This window comes from Homo sapiens, chromosome 14, assembly GCF_000001405.40.
Source record: "Homo sapiens chromosome 14, GRCh38.p14 Primary Assembly".
Lineage (NCBI taxonomy): Eukaryota > Metazoa > Chordata > Mammalia > Primates > Hominidae > Homo > Homo sapiens.
This window is the reverse complement of record NC_000014.9, coordinates 94,580,558-94,599,028: the sequence shown is the minus strand read 5'-3', so window position 1 is coordinate 94,599,028 and position 18,471 is coordinate 94,580,558. Positions and strand designations below refer to the sequence as shown.

General features: G+C 50.3%; 1 protein-coding gene and 2 long non-coding RNA genes across 3 annotated transcripts; 1 reads left to right on the top strand and 2 right to left on the bottom strand.

Annotated features, from left to right (window-relative positions):
- The first annotated feature begins 105 nt into the window (after nt 1-105).
- Nucleotides 106-6,337, top strand: LOC112268127 (uncharacterized). Its single transcript, XR_002957587.2, has 2 exons — nt 106-203; nt 3,346-6,337. It is a non-coding gene; the product is annotated as an uncharacterized LOC112268127 (long non-coding RNA).
- LOC124903411 (uncharacterized) lies at nt 2,031-4,783 on the bottom strand. Its single transcript, XR_007064390.1, has 2 exons — nt 4,513-4,783; nt 2,031-3,372 (listed from the first exon to the last, which is right to left on the bottom strand). It is a non-coding gene; the product is annotated as an uncharacterized LOC124903411 (long non-coding RNA).
- SERPINA5 (serpin family A member 5) lies at nt 5,911-17,603 on the bottom strand. Its single transcript, NM_000624.6, has 6 exons — nt 17,539-17,603; nt 17,319-17,414; nt 11,048-11,683; nt 8,718-8,988; nt 8,133-8,280; nt 5,911-6,972 (listed from the first exon to the last, which is right to left on the bottom strand). The coding sequence occupies exons 3-6, from the start codon at nt 11,664-11,666 to the stop codon at nt 6,790-6,792; spliced, it is 1,221 nt and encodes a 406-aa protein (NP_000615.3). The 5' UTR covers nt 11,667-11,683; nt 17,319-17,414; nt 17,539-17,603; the 3' UTR covers nt 5,911-6,789.

Genomic DNA, 18,471 nt, shown 5'->3' with positions numbered 1-18,471 from the left:
ATTATCTGGAATTCCCACTTCACTGGGTGTATATGGCCAGCACTTCCCCGCCTGTGGGGCACGCCCAGCGCTTGTGTGTGGTAGGGGTCCCAAGCTCAAGGACTTACAGAGTCCTAGGCAGCAGCTGAAGACTTGTAGAGTCTGAGATATCAACGTGGGGACGAGCATGGGGAACTCGCCTGGGTGTGCGTGCTTGTTACCTGGTGAGTGCTCTGCAGTGATTGGAGGAATGAATACTTACATAGCTAAGAGCCTCTGGGCCTGTTCTAGGAGGAGTCTGAGGACCACCCTCAGGCACGAAAGCTAGGTGGGTGGCACCGCAGGGAGCAGGGGGAGTAGGGGAGTTCCGTGGGCCTGAGCGTCCGGGTCACAGTGCACTGAACAGGACAGTCCTGCCCTCTCTTGTACTGTAGGCGGCAAAGCACCAAAAATCTGTGTGCATTTGAATCCCGAGGGGGAGCTTAAAGACTCTGTGTCAAATATTCTGATTTATCTGATCAGGGCCAGGAGTATGTATTTTTAACAAGCTCCTCAAGTAACGTTAATCAGAGTTTGAGAAACACTGCTATAGGGAGGTCTCAGGTCATAGCTTTTTTTTTTTTTTTTTTTTTGGCCTGGTCTCCCCTGAGCCTTCAATAACCCTGTAACATCGGCCTCATTACATTCATTCCCCCTGCATGGCCCAAGAGGTGGTCATGTGTGTGTCTGCTTGCGATCACCCAGCTTAGGATACCGGGCAGCAGAGACTCCACCCACTCTCCATCTCCACAGCCTTGTACCTTAACATTTGTGATGGATCAAGATAAGGATCATTTACCTTGATTATCCTGATCAAATCCACATGCTTCAGAGCAGCCCCTCTGGGAGAGGCCAGGAGAGAAACAGAGACTTCTGCTTAGTGGAGACACCGCTCTGGGGGTCCTGACACAGGTTCTTCCTCTGTGCATCGGGGACAACAGGGACCACATCAGTGGGGCAGAGAGGGTTAAACGGGGTCGCGCAGGGAAAGTGCCTGCCCTCTCCCCACCCCAGCAGGCAATGGGTGCTCAGCTCAGCACAACCAGAGGTGGTAGCTGTGTTAGCCACCCAGAAGCCACAGTGCTCCAGGAGGCTGTGTGTGTGTGTGCACAGATGTGTGAGTAGCAATCCAGATGTGTGCAGGAACAGCTGGTTAACTGCACTCTGCATGTCTACATAAAAAGTCACCATCAGGAAGGGTGTGTGGATGCCCATACTAGGTTCTCCTGGGAGTCAAAAGTGTCTTGTGTCTTGTGTCTGTGGCTCCTGTGTGTGTTGTCACCTTAGAGCCCCTTACTCCCACCAAGGTGGTCTTGGAGAAGGGTGGCAGAGAAGGATCAGTACTGTAGACCTGCTCTAAGGACGCTGGAGAGGACTGGAGATGTCACCTGCTTCCTGTCCCCCAGCCCCTACCCCAGGTGCCTCTCAGTTCACCTCTGCATTAACTCAGCCAATGTGCACAAAGGGCTTAGGCGAGTGCCAGACACACGGGACGCAGCCTCCAAGTGCTGCCTGTTATTATTACTGTTACTCCCATCTCAGCACCCTACTCAGTGTCCTTGTGGCCAAGGAAGGGATGGGCCTCCCACCCCACCTTCTCTTTCCCTCCTCAGCTGCTGCCACAGGCACCGTCTCTCAATTTTGTGCACAGCACTCCCCTTTTCCCACTTCTGAGACTCACAGTGTCTACACCTGATTGTCCCTCAGAACTCCGCTTCAATGGCACCACCTCAGGGAGCCCCTCAGGGCCCTGGCTGCAGCAGGTCCTCCTGATTGTCTCTCTTAGTGCCCCGTTTTCTTCCTTAACTGGTCTCCTGCTTCTGCCTTTGCAATTCCCAACCCCACTCGTGTGCCCTCCCCTACTTGGCTGTTTTTCTTTTTGAAACATTTTCTTAAAAAAAGGGGGTGCAGCAAACCACCATGGTACATGTATACCTATGTAACAAACCTGCATATTCTGCACCTGTACCCCAGAACTTAAAGTATAATTTAAAAAAACTATTTTAAGACAGTTTTGGATTTACAGAAAAGTTATAAAAACAATACAGAGAGGTCCCATATACGCTCTCCCTGCTTCTCCTAATGTAAATGTGGACAGACCACAGCATGTTCCTCAGAACTGGGAAGTGGACATTGGTACAGCCTGGACTTACTTGGGTTTCACCAGCTGTCCTACTAATGTCCTTTTCTGTCCGAGGATTCTACATTGCATTTAGTCGTCATGTCTGCTGAGTTTCCTCCGGCCAAAGACGATTTCCCAGGGTTTCCTTGCCTTTCAAGACCTCGACACTTTTAAGTAGGAGTGGTGGGCTATTTTGCCAAATGTCCCTGAACTTGGGATTGGCTGTCATTTTCTTGTGATTAGACTGAGGTTCTGGGTTTGGGGGAAGATCCCACCAAGAGGAGGCAGCCTGCTCATGACGCCATATCGAAGATAATAAGATGTCAGCACTGCTCACAGCTGGCGATGCCAACCTCGATCCCTTGGCCAAGATGGTGTCTGCCGGGTCTTTTGGCTGAGATGTCGCCATGTTCCACTTTCTGTGCTCCATTTAGATGACGGCCTCATTCCACAGTACTTGTCATCAAGTGACATGCAATCCATTTTACTTTTCTATTTTATTCTTCATTCTTTTTCATTATGTTATCTTGTCACATTATAATGTCTCCTCTATAAGGGCAGGGATTTTTGTTTTCTTCATTTTTCTTCAGCACTTGGAACAGTGCCAGGCACACAGTGGCCATTCAGTGAATATCTGTGGATGGATGAATTCTTGTCATCATAGTTTGTAGTTCTGTTTATTTGTTTACCTGATTATTGCTGGGGTCAGTGTCTGCCAGGCTCACTCTTATCATTGTGCTTGCACTAGCTCCATGCCTGGATTTCCACTAGGCAACCCAGGAATAGCCTTTGGATGGATGAGCTAAGTAAGCCGCACAGTCAAGTGTAGGCTGGGCATGGCTGTTCACTGTGGTGGGAAGTTCTTCCCCCGAAGACCAAGGTCATTTTTTAAAAAAATCTGAGTCTCTGCAGGGAGAGGTGGGAGAAAGAGTCCTGGGCCCTAACCTTGTATTACTTCTCTGCATTCTGATTACAGCTCACAAGAGGAACTTTTAGAATCCATATGGCTAGAAAGGAAAATAATGGTGGGCTTTCTAAGAACAAGAATGATCTTGGCAAGAGCTGCAAAAACTCAAAGGGCAGAGGGGGGCTGAGTGTGGCCTCTGCTGCAAGTCATTGATGCGTTTCATGCATTGAAGCACCGTGCTGGGGGTCATTGCAGCCTGTTTAACTCAGCATTTCTTTCTTCTTTTTCGTTTTTGCAGCCTGTTCAACTCAATTGTCACACGTTCCTGGGTGCACAAAATGATAGAGGAGTTCAGACAAAGATCGACAGAAAGAGAGAAAGAATGAAGTTCTGAGAGGTCAGGACATTTTTTTGTACAAAGGAGGACACTGAGCTGGCTTTGAAGCATGAAAAGGACCTCCCAGACAGTGGATGTGGGAACAGGTGTGGGACTTCCAGGCAGACAGACCGACTGGAGACGAGTGTGATGTGATGAGCTGTGGAGTGTAGGGGATGTCACAGAATATCACTCTGGATGGATGGCTGTTCCTGGGGTGTCCACTGGGAACCAGGCATGGCACTAGTGCAGCTGTAATGATAAGAGTGAGCCTGGCTGAGTTGCATCCTCCCAAAATTCATACACTGAAGTCCTAACCCTCAATATTTCAAAATGTGACTGTATTTGGAGATAGAGACTTTAAAGAGGTTATTAAGTTAGAATGAGGTCATTGGGGGGCCCTAATTCTATAAGACTGGTGGAGATGAGGAGAGGAGAGGAAGTTAGAACTCAGGCACATGCAGAGGAGGACCATGTGAAGACATAGGGAGAGGAGAGCCACCTGCAAACCAAGGGGAGAGGCCTCAGGGAAACCAGCCCTGCACTTGCCTTGATCTTCGATTCAAGCTCCAGAATCAAGCTTGAATCAATTTCAGCAACGCTAGCAAATCAATTTCAGCAAATCTACTGCAGCCTCCCAGATGAGGACACTTTGTTTTGGCAGCCCCAGCAAATTAATACAGTGGCTGTGAATGAGGGTCCTGAGGGGAGTAGTCAGGCTATATGTGACCGTGACCTGATTTTACCCTGTAGGTGAGCTCGTTCCATGGGAGGGCCTGGTGGGTTTTGGAGAAGCATCTGTGGATAGAGGTGAGCGTCCTGGGAGGGCTGCATGGAGGCATCTACTCATGTGCAGACAGGGGGGTGAGGGAGAGAAAGGGCCCAGGGGACACTTGGAATGTGGCGTGGATGACCAAACTACCCTGAAATTGGGATGAAAGAGATCATCCCATTTAGGATTGGCCTCCCATTTAGGATCTCTGTCACTGAACCGCCGGCACGGCCACCTCCCTCCTCCTTGTCTCCTCCACATGCCCTGTGCAGGCCCAGACTGAAGTTCTGTGGGGACCCATACACTCCATGGCTCACCACATCACGCTCGTCTCCAGCCAGTCCCTCTGCCTGGAGGTCTCACTCCTTTCCCACATTTGCTAGGTGAAGTCCTTCTCACGCTCCAAAGCCATCTTAGTGTCCCTTCATCCAAGAAAACCTGACTCCTCAGAGGTTCATGCTGTCTGTCCATCTCTCTCTGAGCTGCTCTACCATTTTGTGCACCCAGGCTCATGTGACAATTGAGTTAAACAGCCTGTGATGACCCCCAGCACAGTGCTTCAATGTGTGACATGCAGCAGAGACCACAGTGAGCCCACCCCTGACCCCCCACACAGGAGCTGCTTTGTGACTGTTTGCTGAGTAAAGTTTGGACAGTGCTGGACGTTGACCTTCTGTGTGAGACACAGACAGGGCTTCCCTGTGACCTTGGACTGGCTGGGTAAACTCCAGAGAAATATTTGCCAAGACAGGCAAGGCATGATGCAAGGGAAAACACACAGGAGTGCATGACCCCATGAAGGGGCCCCTTCATAAAGAGCCACCCTGAGCCCACAGCACAACTGCAGAGAAATGTCTGAGTCTGGTTGCTGCCATCTCCCCTGCCACCAGCCCGCACATGTGCGATCTGGGCTCTCAGACCCTGGGCCCTCACTGTCACCAGCGTGGGACCCTGGGAAAGCACTTATGTTATTGCCTGTAAAATGGGAACAATAATAGAACTTGCTGGGTTGTCAAGGGATGGGTGATATCACAAGTGCAAAGCATCTGGCATGGGCTGGTGCATGGTGGGGGCTCAGTACTTTGGGGGATGGACAAGGTTTGGGGTCCTGACCTTGTTACCTCTAGTAGGCACTCACCTCTGATACAGTCCAGACTCTAGAATCAGAGGGTGGGGCACAGCCTTATGGAAGCATGCTTAGAACATGCAGGGTGGGGTGAGCAGGCGCACAGAAAATCAGACTTGGGTGCAGCGAAGGACTCACTCACCCACTCATTCCATTCTTGAGTATCTAATCCTCTTCATTCGGCACATGAGGAAACACATGGTGCTTGGTGAAGGGAGGGAGGGAACTTAGCTGGCTCATGGGGGAGCTGGTGCCTGAGATGTCCCTGAATGAAGTTTCTGCTCCTGGTCATCTCTCCTCCACAGCACAGAGCACAGGACTGAGTGTAGGGTTCTTGGTCGCACTCCCCCCGCCAAATTCTGGCTGCACCACTTAGAAGATATGTGACTGGGTAAGCCACCTAACCACTTCAAGCCTTGCCTTTCCCATCTGTGAATAACAGATGGGATAACAGTGGTGCCTTTCTTCATGGGAGTCTTATGAGGGGCAAATGCGACCATCCAGGTGAAGGGCCAGGCACCCGGCCTGGAGCATGGTAAGCTATCAATGTCACCATTCCCAGAGCTGCCTCCATAAAGACAGTTATAACCAGTGTTTGCAAAATGCTTTATTGTTAATGCCAACATAGAATTCAAAAAGTTAGTCATTGGCACCTGCAACTGATACTCTACTATTTGCAAAAGGCTTCCCTTCTTCCACTCCCAGCCAGGCCCATCAGATTATAACTATATCCACAAAATGATATAATCAATCATTAAATGGGCCATTTCCACCTTGATATCCAGATGTTTTTCTTAAAGGATGAATGGCACTTGAGTGTATTGAAATCAACCACGAATGACAGGGCCCACCCCAGCCTTTCTATATGATTTCAGGAGTTCTTGGGTCACAGCAAGAATCTGATCCTTGTATACAGAGGGAAACTGAGGTCCAGAGAGGGAAAGTGTTGTCCCAATGTCACACAGCACATTAGGACTGAAACAGTAGCCCCATTTCAGACTCCCATTCCAACATTTTTCCCATGCAGGATGAACTGACAGTTGTTGCTGCTGATAAGTGTGGGACCAGCCTTGGACCTGTGCTTCCTGGTGGCCCTCATCCACTGGAACATCCCTCCTATTGAGCTTTGTGGCACTGAGCTGGGCATCAAGGGCCAGGACTCTGGACCTCTCTTTGCCACTACCATGCTGGTGAACTTGAGCAAGTCATCCAGCCTCTCTGGATCTCAGTGTTAATCTTCATTGATGAATAGTGACGGCAAGATTGAATGTTCTCCACATTTCCCCAAGGCACCTGTATGTTGCAGTCGTGTGGGTGGAAGCAATCATCATAGAGTAATATTATTTGTAATGCCTCATTAGTCAACTAAACCTGTGTAAATCACTAGCTACCAGCATACAGATGGGCCATAGCTTAGCCCCCTTCATCTCCCACCCTGAGGCCTGTAGATTTCAGGAGAAGCCCCACCTCAGGGGCGGTTCACTTTGCCAAGGAAGAGGATGTTGTTATCCACAATGAACATCAGAAAGGGCCTGTTGAACACTAGCCTCTGAGAGTTCAGGCGGGCCGACCTGAAAGTGAATATTGTCCCCGTGGCTGCCGCTGCTCTGGTTCCCGACTCGTCCACCTCCACCACAGCTTTGTGCACCATCTGCAGGGGAGACACCAGGCATCACCAGGCCACTAGGGGCAGGTGAAGTCATCATAGCAAATGGCAAAGCTTCTGCCTATGGGCATCAACCTCTAAGTATCTGTTCAACTGAGCCATGGAGCAAGTAGGAAATGGAACAATGGAGCAGCTACTCTGCCCCAGGCACTGTGCTGGGGGGTGACTTCGCATGTGTCTGTCATTGAATTCTCATGGCATCTTTGAGCAAGGTGTAATTCTTCAATTTTATAGAAGAGAGAAAGGAAGCTCAGAGAGTCAAGTATTTTTTGGAGATCACATAGCTAGGAAGTGCCTTCTTAGTTTTGATTGTTTAAAACAGGACTCCTTAACTCAAGGAACAGTGGTGGATATGGCTTCCCATTACATGAAGGATAAGACACAAAGTGAAACTTTCACTACTTGTGGGAAAAGAGAGGGAGAGGGAGAGAATAGAATAGAATAGAATAGAATAGAATAGAATAGAATAGAATAGAATAGAATAGAATAGAACAGAACAGAATAAAGGAGTGGAGTGCAGTGGAGTGGACTGCAATGGAATGGAGTGGAGGGGAGAGGAGTGGAATAGAATAGTAGAGAGTGGAGTGGAGTTGACTGCAATGGAATGGAATAGAATAGAGTAGAATGGAATGGAATAGAATAGAATAGAGTGGAGTGGAGTGGAGGAGTGGAATGGAGTGGAGTGGAAGAGTGGAGTGGAGGAGTGGAATGGAGTGGAATGGAAGAGTGGAGTGGATGAGTGGAGTGGAGTGGAGGAGTGGAGTGGAGGAGTGGAGTGGAGGAGTGGAGTGGATGAGTGGAGTGGAGGAGTGGAGTGGAGGAGTGGAGTGGAGATGTGGAGTGGAGGAGTAGAGTGGAGTGGATGAGAGGAGTGGAGGAGTGGAATGGAGTGGAATGGAATAGAGTGAACTGGAGTGGAGTGGAGTGGAGTGGAACTGAATAGAGTGAACTGGAGTGGAGTGGAGTGGAATTGAATAAAGTGAACTGGAGTGGAGTGGAGTGGAATTGAATAGAGTGAACTGGAGTGGAGTGGAGTGGAGTGGAGTTGAGTGGAATGGAATGGAATGAAATGGGGTAGAGTAGAATAGAAAGAATAGAACAGAATAGACCTTGGGAAGCAGATGCATAGGAGCTTCTGAACCCACCTCAGACACCTGGATATTTGAGTGGTTGCTGATGCCGGACAGATCAGCATGGGAGGTGAAGACGTTACTGATCCCCAGACTGGGGAGGACTTTCTCCAGCTGATAGGAGCCCTCAATGGAGAATTTGGGAAGGTAAAGCTCGAGCTGCCTGGAAAGGGAAAAGGAGCTTTCTTAGACTGTTCTGGGGCATTGGCACACTGAGCCTCACCCCTTGGATTCATAATGCACTGGATTCTTAGTTTTGATGGTTTTAAAAAAGGACTCCTTAACCCAAGGAACAATGGTGGTTATGGCTCCTCTGGCCTCTTTTCTAGGATGAGCCTCCCCTTGCTCTGGACTTGGACGTGGGCTGCCCAGAGGTCTCTGCCCACTCTGGCACCACCCTAAGGAACCCAGTTTCCAGCTCTTGTCCCTCCAACTGGGCTAGGCCCCCAGGACTTGGATGTCACAGGATGCCTCTGGGCCTGGAGGCAGCTCCTTGGCTGGGTGAGTCCTTCCCACCAGTGCTGTGTGGCCCTGGTAGGGCGTGTGTGTCTCCCTGGGGCTGTGTGGGTTTAGGCTGGCCCTGGGGTAGTCTGAAAGTACCTCTTTTTGAACATCTTAAGCCACTTCCTCAGCGTTTTCTCACTCAGTCCATTCTCCACCTGCTGCATCTTTCCCTCACTGGGGAGAATGAACAAAGCCGTGGCATTGCCTTGGTAGGGGACCCCCACCACCCTGCAGGAGAGGTTCCGGTCCAGGAGGTAGTGATACTGATCCTCGCGGCTCATCATGGGTACCCGCACCACAGTCTCCGAGGTCACGTAGAAGTCTTGCTCTTGGGTGCCTTTGTGGTTGAAGCTTGTCTCCCACTTAGCTAAAGATGAAAAAAGGGAAAAATGAAAAAGAATTTTGTGTCAGAATTAGAAATTCTCAGCTGCAAATAAAAGGAGTGAAGACAGTAAAGATAGCCAGCGGAGACCATCTTTATGGCAGCCCCAGAGCAGTGACTGTTGAACCTCTTGAATATGAAGGCAAGTCTCTTTATAACATTGGGCACATTCTTGGACTTTTCGTGGGACTTTTCCTTCCACATTTGCAAAACAAGGAGGTTGGTTTTCACATCTTCAGAGGCCCTGGACCCCTGATGTTCTCTGATTCTCTAACGTTTTACTCAAGACCAAATCTCCAAGTGAAGAGGGTGAAAAATGTGGCTGGCTGTGAATGCTACCTGATATCTGGGTGAACTTCTCTGTTTGCACTTTCATTCCAATATTTTGATTTAAATTTTAGAAAGAAGTTAGTATGGATCCTGGAAATGAATGGTTTTTCCCATTGGGAAGTCTTCAATGACCCTTCTCTGACCTTCCTATGGGAACTTCTGAACAAAACGCTACAAGTGATTGTTTCCAACTTCTTTTTATTTTATTTTATTTCTTTTTTTCTTTTTTTTCTTTTTTTCTTCTTTTTGAGATGGAGTCTCGCTCTGTGACCCATGCTGGAGTGCAGTGGCGCAATTTTGGCTCACTACAGCCCCCACCTCCCAGGTTCAAGTGATTCTCCTGCCTCAGCCTCCCAAGTAGCTGGAATTACAGGCGCCCACCACCATGCCTGGCTAATTTCTGTATTTTTTAGTAGAGACGGGGTTTCACTATGTTGGCCAGGCTGATCTCGAACTCCTGACCTCAGGTGATCTGCCCATCTCGGCCTCCTAAAATGTTGGGATTATAGGCGTGAGCCACCATGCCTGGCCTGTTTCCAACTTCTTAATCGTTATCGAAGGAAGACCCCAGTCAATACCGTCCTTAGCTTATTTCCCAGCTGCCCTCAGCAATCTGGTGTAATGGGGACTGCCCTGCACCAGGGGATAGGAAATCTCAGAGTCCAAGTTCGACACTCACTGCTGTGGTCTCAATGTTTGTGTCCCCACATTGTTCATATGTTGAAACCTAACCCCCAAGGTGGTGGTATTAGGACAGGGGGCCTTTGGGAGTTGATTAGGTCATGGGGGTGGAGCTGTCATGAACAGGATCGGTGTCCTTACAAAAGAGACCACAGAGAGCTGCCTTCCTCCTTCCAGCAAGGATATACTAAGAAGGCACTCTCTATGAACCAAGGAATGGGCACTGCATCTGCCAGTGCCTTGATCCTGGACTTCTCAGCCTCCAGAACTATGAGAAATATATGTTTGTTGTTGCTAAGCCACCCAGTTTATGGTATTTTGTTATAGCCACCCAAATGGCCAAAGATACTCATGATCTGTGACCATAGGAAGGGGAGGTGTTAACAATTTACCTTCCTTCGCAACCCTTCCCACCCTCTCCTCTCCTCTCTTCTCCTCTCTATCCACTCTTGCTTTCCCCAGGGTCAGCAACTGGCAGGAGCTGCAGAGGCGAGCAGGAATGCTTACAAGGAGTGTCGGGGAGATAAGCAGAGGTCAGCTCTTGCTGAGGAGTCAGGAGGAGGCATTTCAGAGGAACAAGCATTTGTCTGAGGGAGTCTTGGCCTCTATGAGGGCAGAGGGGCCAAGATCTGAGGGATACGGGGGACTGGGAAATGCCCTTTAAGCCCTTCTGGGGTCTGTGTCCTGCCCTGAGTGGCTAAGGTGTTGGTGTCTTTGCCATGGTGGCCACAATGGGTTCATACTTCAGAGCCTGTAGAAAGCTGGGGCTTCAGATGTCCCCAGGGGCCCGAAGACAGCAACCAGCTCTTCCTCCGTGGAGGAAACAGCATCTCAGCCTCACTAATCCCATCCACAGCAAGAAGGCATTCATCTTACCTTCTCTGGCTGCTTGTTTACTTAATTTTTCTCAACAGGCACCCAAAAGAACTTAACGTACTCCCCGTCTTTTATGTATGTGAGGGAATTGGGTATTCTTTAGATAAAAGCAGCAGAAAAGCCAAAGAAAGTGCAGGTTTGGGCCCAAGGGCCTTACCTTTAAAGAAGATGTAATTCACCATGATCACGACCGCATTGCTATCGAGGTTCTTAAGCAAGTCCACAATCTTGCCCTTCGTTTGCTTTGCCACATAATCATTGATCTGCTTCATGGCCCCTGCAGAGTCCCTAAAGTTGGTAGGGAAAGTGTCTGCCAGGTACAGCGTCTTCATGGCACTTACGAAGGTGTCCTGCAGGTCTACCACCAGGTCGGTGAAAAGGGCATTGCCGAGGCTCAGCTGGAAGCCATCTCTGGGCTGGTTGAGTTCCTGAAGGAGCTGCTGAAAGCCTCTGTGCAGCTCCTTCTCTGAGCTTTTCTGGAGGTTGAGGCCCAGGCCCTCCAGGATCTGCATCTTTGTGCTGGACCCAGCCCCCAGGGAGAGCATGGCCAGGCTCATGGAGATGCTCACAGGGGAGAAGAAGATGCTCTGGCTGGGGGCAGCGGAAGCCAAGGCCCTGTAGAGGTCAAAGGTAAAGTCCCTTCTGCTGCTGGGGGCCACCGTGGCACCTACATGGAGGTCCTCGACTCTCTTCTTCATCTCCCGGGGGTGGTGGCGGTGAAGGGAGGCCCCCTGAGGGCTGAGAAGCACCAGGCACAAGAGGAGGAAGAGCTGCATGGTGGCTGTTCTTTGTTCTGAAAGGGAAAGAAGGTGTCCTCAGAGAGGGGTGGAGCTGGTCCAGGTGCTGACTTTCCAGAGATGTCCCCACCCAACACTCAATGGGTATGTTTGGTCCATTCAGCTTCAAAGAGAAGGGATGGCACCCGCAAGACTGGGCATGAGGGTTTACACAGGGTGGCAGTGGCTCGAGGACAAGATTTAGGGATGACGGGGAGAGGAAGGAGGGAGAGGAGGTGCAGACCCAAGGCAGGGGTCTGGCTGCCAGGGCAGGAATCCTGTCTACCCATCCACATCAAGGGACACATTTTGGAGGATGGGATATGGAGGGAGAGGGTTCCCTCTGCTCTGCTCTGTCTCATCAGCATCTCGAGGTTACCAGGGAACTAAGCTGCTTCCATGTGAGCTTCTGGCCTTCACTCTGGTGTCCTGGTTTGGCACATGGCAGGGCGCTGTGGTCCTTCTATGAACTCAGACCAGCTACATGCCTGGGACCATCAGCACTGCTGGCCTTGCCCTGTTCATTCAGCAAACGCTGAGTGAGTGTCCACCCTGGGGTAGGCAGAATACCAGTATGCAAACTGTCCCCTTCTCCTTCCCCCAGGGGCTGCTCCATGCCACCCTTGTCCCACAGAGAGACATCTTCCCCTCCTAAAGGAATTCTGCCTGAACCTCTTCATGTGGACATCCCCACCGTCCTCCTGTTCTGGCTGAATTGTGCCCCCAAAATGCATATGCTGAAGTCCTTACCTTCAATACCCCAGAATGTGACTATATCTGGAGATAGGGCTTTTAAAGAGGGGACTGAGTTAGAATGAGGTCACTAGAGTGGGCCCCAACCCAATATGACTACGTCCTTACACAAAAATTAAAAAGAGGAGATCAGGATAGAGACATGCACAGAGGGAAGACCAGGTGAAGACAGGGAGAAGGCAGCCACCTGTGAGCCAAGGAGAGGGGCCTTGGAAGGAACAAATCCTGCTGGTGCCTTAATCTCAGACTTCCAGCTTCCAGAGTTGTAAAGAAAGAAATTTCTGTTGTTGAAGCCCCCTAGCCCCTGGGACTTTGTGACAGCAGCCCATGCAGGCAAAGACATCTTTTCATCTTCCAGATGAGGAGGCACTCATCTTTGTCTCTAGCTCTTCTCAGGGAGGCCTTTGTGGGGTCTCCCATCACTCCTGACGTGGCCTTGGCCTTCAGTCCTCCTCTTCCTCCCTCCACTTCACCCAAGAGCCGTTCCTGTGCCCATGCCTCCCCATCTGGCTACGGGTAGAAGTCTTGCCTCCTCCCTCTGCAGTAGGAAACAGCTCAGGCTCTGAAGCCACTGCCTGGGTTCAAATCTCAGCCCTGCTGTGTCCTTGTAGTGTGATTTTGGGCAAGTCAGTTACACCTTGAGCCACTGCTCCATAACTGTAAGATAGTGATAATAACAGCACCTACACCATGGGGTGCTTGGGGGCACGTGCTATGGAAGTGTGAGCAGTAGGCATGGCAGTTTCTGGCAAAAGCCCCATCTGAGGCCTCCATATTCTCAACTGTACCATAGGGTACATGCTTTACACACACACACACACACACACACACACACACACACACACGTGTGAGCCTGACAGCACCCAGGCTGGCTAATTACCAGGTGCAGAGGGCCTGCCTGGCTTCTGATGTGAGCTTTGCCCTGTGTGTCGCCTTGGAGGGAATCCCTTTCTGCTGGGCTCTCTCCATGGGCACAATGTCATCAGTGACCCCAGATCCCCACCAGGCAGGGGCAGCCTGTCACAGCATCCCGTGACCCAATTAAAACCAAACTCCAAAGGGCCCCAAACAGGTGGGTGGGAAATCCCTTGCAGAGTGGCCGTGGGGCTCAGCAGTGGAGAGAGAATGGTCTCAGGAATTGGGCAGGCTTGGACTGCAGGCCTGTCTTTAAGTGAAGTTGAATAGCTCCAGCAGGTCACCCTTGCCAGCCCAGCCTCCAAATTGTGTCCTGAGCTCCTTCCGAGAAGGAGCCTCATGTAGAAGTTTCTGCCTGCAGAATCGAACCTGGCACCAAACCCAGCAGCCACAGCAGTTGGGCGCATTGCCCGCACCCTCTTTCAGGCACTGTGCCAACTCCTTCAGCCCTGCACCACCCAAAAAGGTACATCTTGCTGCTAGCTCTATTTTACAGATGGGTAATCCGAGGTTCAGAGAGATGGAGTCGCTTGCTAACACTGGCAAAGCTTGGACTCAGACTCGGTTATCACTCTGACTCTGCAGAGTCCTGCCTCCTCTGCAGAGTCCTGCCTCCTCTTTTCCTGGCTGCATCTTCCTGATTTTGAAATCCCTGACTTAGTAGCCACCAACAATAGCCCTAATCTGCAGATAATGAGTGAGCAGAGTCTGGGCTTCCCCCCACTGACACTCCCTACCTGTTCCCACCATGGCACTTGCCTGGAGAGCTTTGAAGGACATAGGTGGGTGCTTTAATCTCCGGCTTCTCTAAATGAGTCTATTTTACAGCACAATATGGTCCCTCCTGCCAAGGGTTGGAACCAGCCATGTATGGAGATGCTTCTAAAGAAACAATGTGGCTCAACCCCCCACAGGGTCACACTGAGCTGATAATTTCGAGAACAGCTTCAGAAGCAGGGGAGTTTCCTTATTGGATACAGCCCAGGGGCAGCTGACCAGAGAGTCTCAGTGAGGCCCTGGCCTCCATTCTCCCATCTATTCAGCTACTAGGTCACCCTGGGCAAGCCTCACCCCCTCTGGGCCTCAGTTTCTTCATCTGCAGTCTGCCATGTGTTGTGGACACCCCCTCAAGACCCCGCCCCCTGCCAAGCACTAGAGATCCGATGGGGAGGAGCTGCTTCTCCGGGTGTGCACTGAGTCTCCCCCAGGATCTGTTTGGAGAGGGCCCCAGGTTCACTTAGGCTCTCCTGGGCTACATGTTTGAGACCCAGAAATCTTGCTCCCTCTGGGCCAACTCTCTCTACTTTTCAGTAAAACCACTAATTATTAAAGACATACTAGACACTCCATAAATATTACTATGTTTAACCTTCACCAAAAGTAAGCTCTCTATTTTACAGAGTTTTCCAAAAGTAAACTCACTCTATTTTACAGATTGAATAGACTGAGGCTAAGTGAAGTGGAATAGCTTGTTTCAGCTACTGAGTGATGGAACCGGAATTAAAATCCAGGTTCCTCTGACTCGTGCACAGCCTGTCTCTGAGTGGCTCTGAGGAGTGATACCTCGTTCCTCCTCGACCTCACCTCCTGGTATCCCCAGGCGGTTCACCTGTATTAGCTCATTTATACTTCTCTACAACAACATGGAGTTAGTATCATTATCCTAACAGTGCAGAAGAAACAGAGGGTCAGAGAGGTCACTCAAGAGGCAGTGGAGTCCTCAGTGCTTGTTTTACGTTTCTTAGTTTCAAATCCAGGGTTTGCCATCGCACTCTTGGGCCTCTGGTGGAAATACATGGCTTTGACAGAGACAGGTGAAGCCCTGGGAGCCTCCCATCCCCCAGACCAGCCTCTACTGAGTGCTTTGAAAGCTTGGTTGGGCTGCCCCTCTCCTGGTCCCTGGCTTTAGTGTTTCTGCAGAGGGAAGAGAGAGGATCAGTCATGTTCACCTGTCATCTCAGGCCAAGGTGAATTGAGGTGGGAGGTGGTGGGGATGTGATGGGTAGGCCCTGGTCAGTCTTCCCGCTGGCCCACCACCATCCCCGAAACCCAAATCTGCTGACTGATATTTCCCGTGTTGGGCAGTGAAGTCCTGCCCAGTTCTACCCTGGACTCAGCTGTGGGAATTGTGTTAGTGAGGACGGTCTGTCCAATATCTTCTAATTACAAAAAGGGATGTGAGGCTTGGAGCCCAGGCAGAGATGAGAGACAAAGTCACAGCTTCCTCTAGATCCTAAAGACCCAGGAACAGAACTTCCCAGAAGAAGTAATCTTGACTTCCTGTTCCACTCCAGCCCATCAGCAAAGCTTGTCCGTTCTATCTCCAAAACAGGTCTTAAAGCTGCCGCCTTTCCCTGGCTTTCTTACTGCCCCCAGTGGAAGCTCCCTTCATCTCCCCCAGGGCTACCCCAGTAGCTTCCTTTCTTTGCCCTGAAAGGCTTTCTATATACAGCATATAAAAGAATCTCCTTCAATCATAAATATGGTCACAGCGCTTCCTCGCCTAAGAAACTCATGGCCAACTCCTGTGTTTCAGATAAATGCTAAACTTTGATTTGTGCTCTAACCCACTAGGGCTGCTGTGACCTGGCTGCACCTGGCCTGGACCTGCTCTGCCCTGGATCACGTGATACCCCCAGGCTCACTCTTCTTTTCCCAGTTTCTCAAACACAGCAAGTTCTGTCCTAACTCTGGGCCTTTGCATACCTTCCCTCTCTACTGGAACCCTCCCCCAACCTTTCTCACTGAGGCCAACTTCTGCATAGGCTGCAGGCTTTTGCTTAAATGTCACTTCTTTGCAATACCTTATCACACTGGACCTTTTCCCCTTCCATGGCTATTCTCTGGAACAGTCCCTTGACTCTTTCTCTCAAAGCTCTTTCAATTACACATGTGCCTTTATATATGCATTTGTCATTGACATTTTTCATTCCGGCCTCTCTCTCCATGGGACCCTCATTTGTGCTGCTCTCACCTTCAAGAGCTTGCAGTCAGGAGAGATGCTCCATAAACCTTTGTAGAATGAATGAATGAATGAACTGACCAGTCTCCTTCTCTGTAATTCAGAGACATTAGACTGCAAGCTGGACACTGAGCAGTGGAAAAAGCCAGGCTGGCCACCCAGAGCTGAGCTCTCCCCGCCCCGGAGCTCACTTGCCAGGTGACCTTGAACAACTCCCTCCCTGTCTCTCAGCTCTGGCTTCCTATTATTTCTTTATTAAAACCACTTGATTGAGACATGACTGCTATTCATAAAGTTGCACATATTTAATGTCTATAACCTGACAAGTTTGGAGATGAGTCTACATCTGTCACTTATCATCACCGTCAGCACCATGAACACGTCCGTTACCTTCAGGCATCTGCCGCCTGTATTCTTCATGCTTCGGTTTCCTGATCTATGAGCAAGGACACTGGCCCAAGGAAGCAGTTTGCTCTTTTATTGCTGCATATCTGGCCAAAAGCCCTACCTTCAGAAAAACTAAAAATTCTGCTTACTTTATTTCTACATTTTGTTCATTTAACAAACTGCCAAATTGTTACTGTCCTTCATGAGCAGCTGCCATGACCGGCCTGGGTGGCAGCCTCCAGGCAAGATGCCCTTATCTCACGGAAGCCGATAATATTGGATCATTGTTCCTGATTTCTAAAGGCCCAAGACTCCAGGCACAGAAAACAACAGAAGCTGCCACTTACTGAGCACCTCCTATCCAGCCGACATTTTGTCCCCATGGCCTTATTTCAGGGTCTCTCAACCTTGATCCTGTTGACCTTTTGAACAGGATGATGCTTTGTGATCTTGTCCTGGGCATTGTGGGATCATCAGCAGCATCGCTGGCCTCTAGATGTCACTAACCCCCACCCCCCTTCCAGTTGTGGCAACCAAATGTGTCTGCAGACATGGCCAGATGTGCTGAGTGAGAGCACCCGCTGTATTTAATCTTCAGTCACACCATCCAGAGGGTGTAATTATTTCCATCTTACCTATGAGGAAACGGAGGCTCTGCCAGAGTTAGTGTGGAGCATAAGGTCACAGAGCTCGGGGGACCCACTCACCTCTGCTGCCTTGGATACCTGAAACTGCAGAGATGAGACTCCTTCAGAGCTTTGCAGACCCCAAACCCCAAAACTCTAGAGTCCATCCTCTCCTCGCCTCACATGCCCTCAAGCCCTGGGGACCTCCCTTTGCGGCATCGGTACTTACTGTGTCCCGTAGCTGAGTGTGCACACAGTGGAGGTGGCAGTCCCTCGGGCTCAGAAAGGGCAGAGGGCTGGCTGGATTGCAGCCAGCATTTGTCACTGACCACAGCCGGCCCTGTCTCCACCCCTCCCTGGCCCCGCCCCGGGACAGCCCCTTCCTTTCCTGGCAGGTTTCCGGCCAGCAGGCCTGCCTGCAGACGCAGCTCCCTGATCCCGAGGCTTTCACCACGATGCCCACTCGCTGCCCCCCAAGCCTTACACCACCAGCTGGGCCATCATTTTCCTGGAATGGCATGGGCACTCCTGAGAGACAAGACCAAAGAGCCTCCCTATTGTTGGCATTCCAGAGACAGGGAAAGGGACAGCTCTAGCAAACCCTCTCTTTTTCCAGGTTCTATTCCTTGGTTTTCTGCAGCTAATTTCTTGTAGATTAGGGGGGGCATATGCTTGAACCTGAGAGCTCCCCACAGGCCTGCTATGCTGACTGGGTCATAGATCCCAACAGTTAGATTCTAGTGGAAATGAGAGGGATTGAGAGACTCACCATGCCTGCAATGAATGGGTCACTGTAGCCAAGCCTGTGATTGCACCAATCACTGAATTGGGGCTCAGAAGAATGAGGGGAATTTTCAAAGTCATGCATTTAATTAGGGGCAGAGTGGGGTTGGTGCATAAGTGGCTGACTCCCAGGCCAGTGCTTGTTGCTGAGAAAGGAGTGGATTCAGGATTTCTATGGGCTTGGGTAGATTCTCCCTTTCTACTTTGAAATCCTGGTTCCCTAACTCAGCCATACACTCTTAAGAGCATTTCCAAGACACCGGTGCAGAGTGCTGTCTCAAGCCTGGTTATGTTTCTAAGGTCCCCTTGCCTGGGGGACATGGTGTGTTGTGCATGGCCGTGATCATGGAAGGTTATGTGGCTGCAGGTGGGGTGTGGA

Bases quoted from the DNA above. Each gene is read 5' to 3' on its own strand.
- SERPINA5 (NM_000624.6), bottom strand. From the start codon at position 11,666: ATGCAGCTCTTCCTCCTCTTGTGCCTGGTGCTTCTCAGCCCTCAGGGG. The intron at 8,989-11,047 runs GTAAGGCCCTTG...TTTCATCTTTAG, and splicing joins GAATTACATCTTCTTTAAAG to CTAAGTGGGAGACAAGCTTC. The intron at 8,281-8,717 runs GTACTTTCAGAC...TTCCCTTTCCAG, and splicing joins CTTAAGATGTTCAAAAAGAG to GCAGCTCGAGCTTTACCTTC.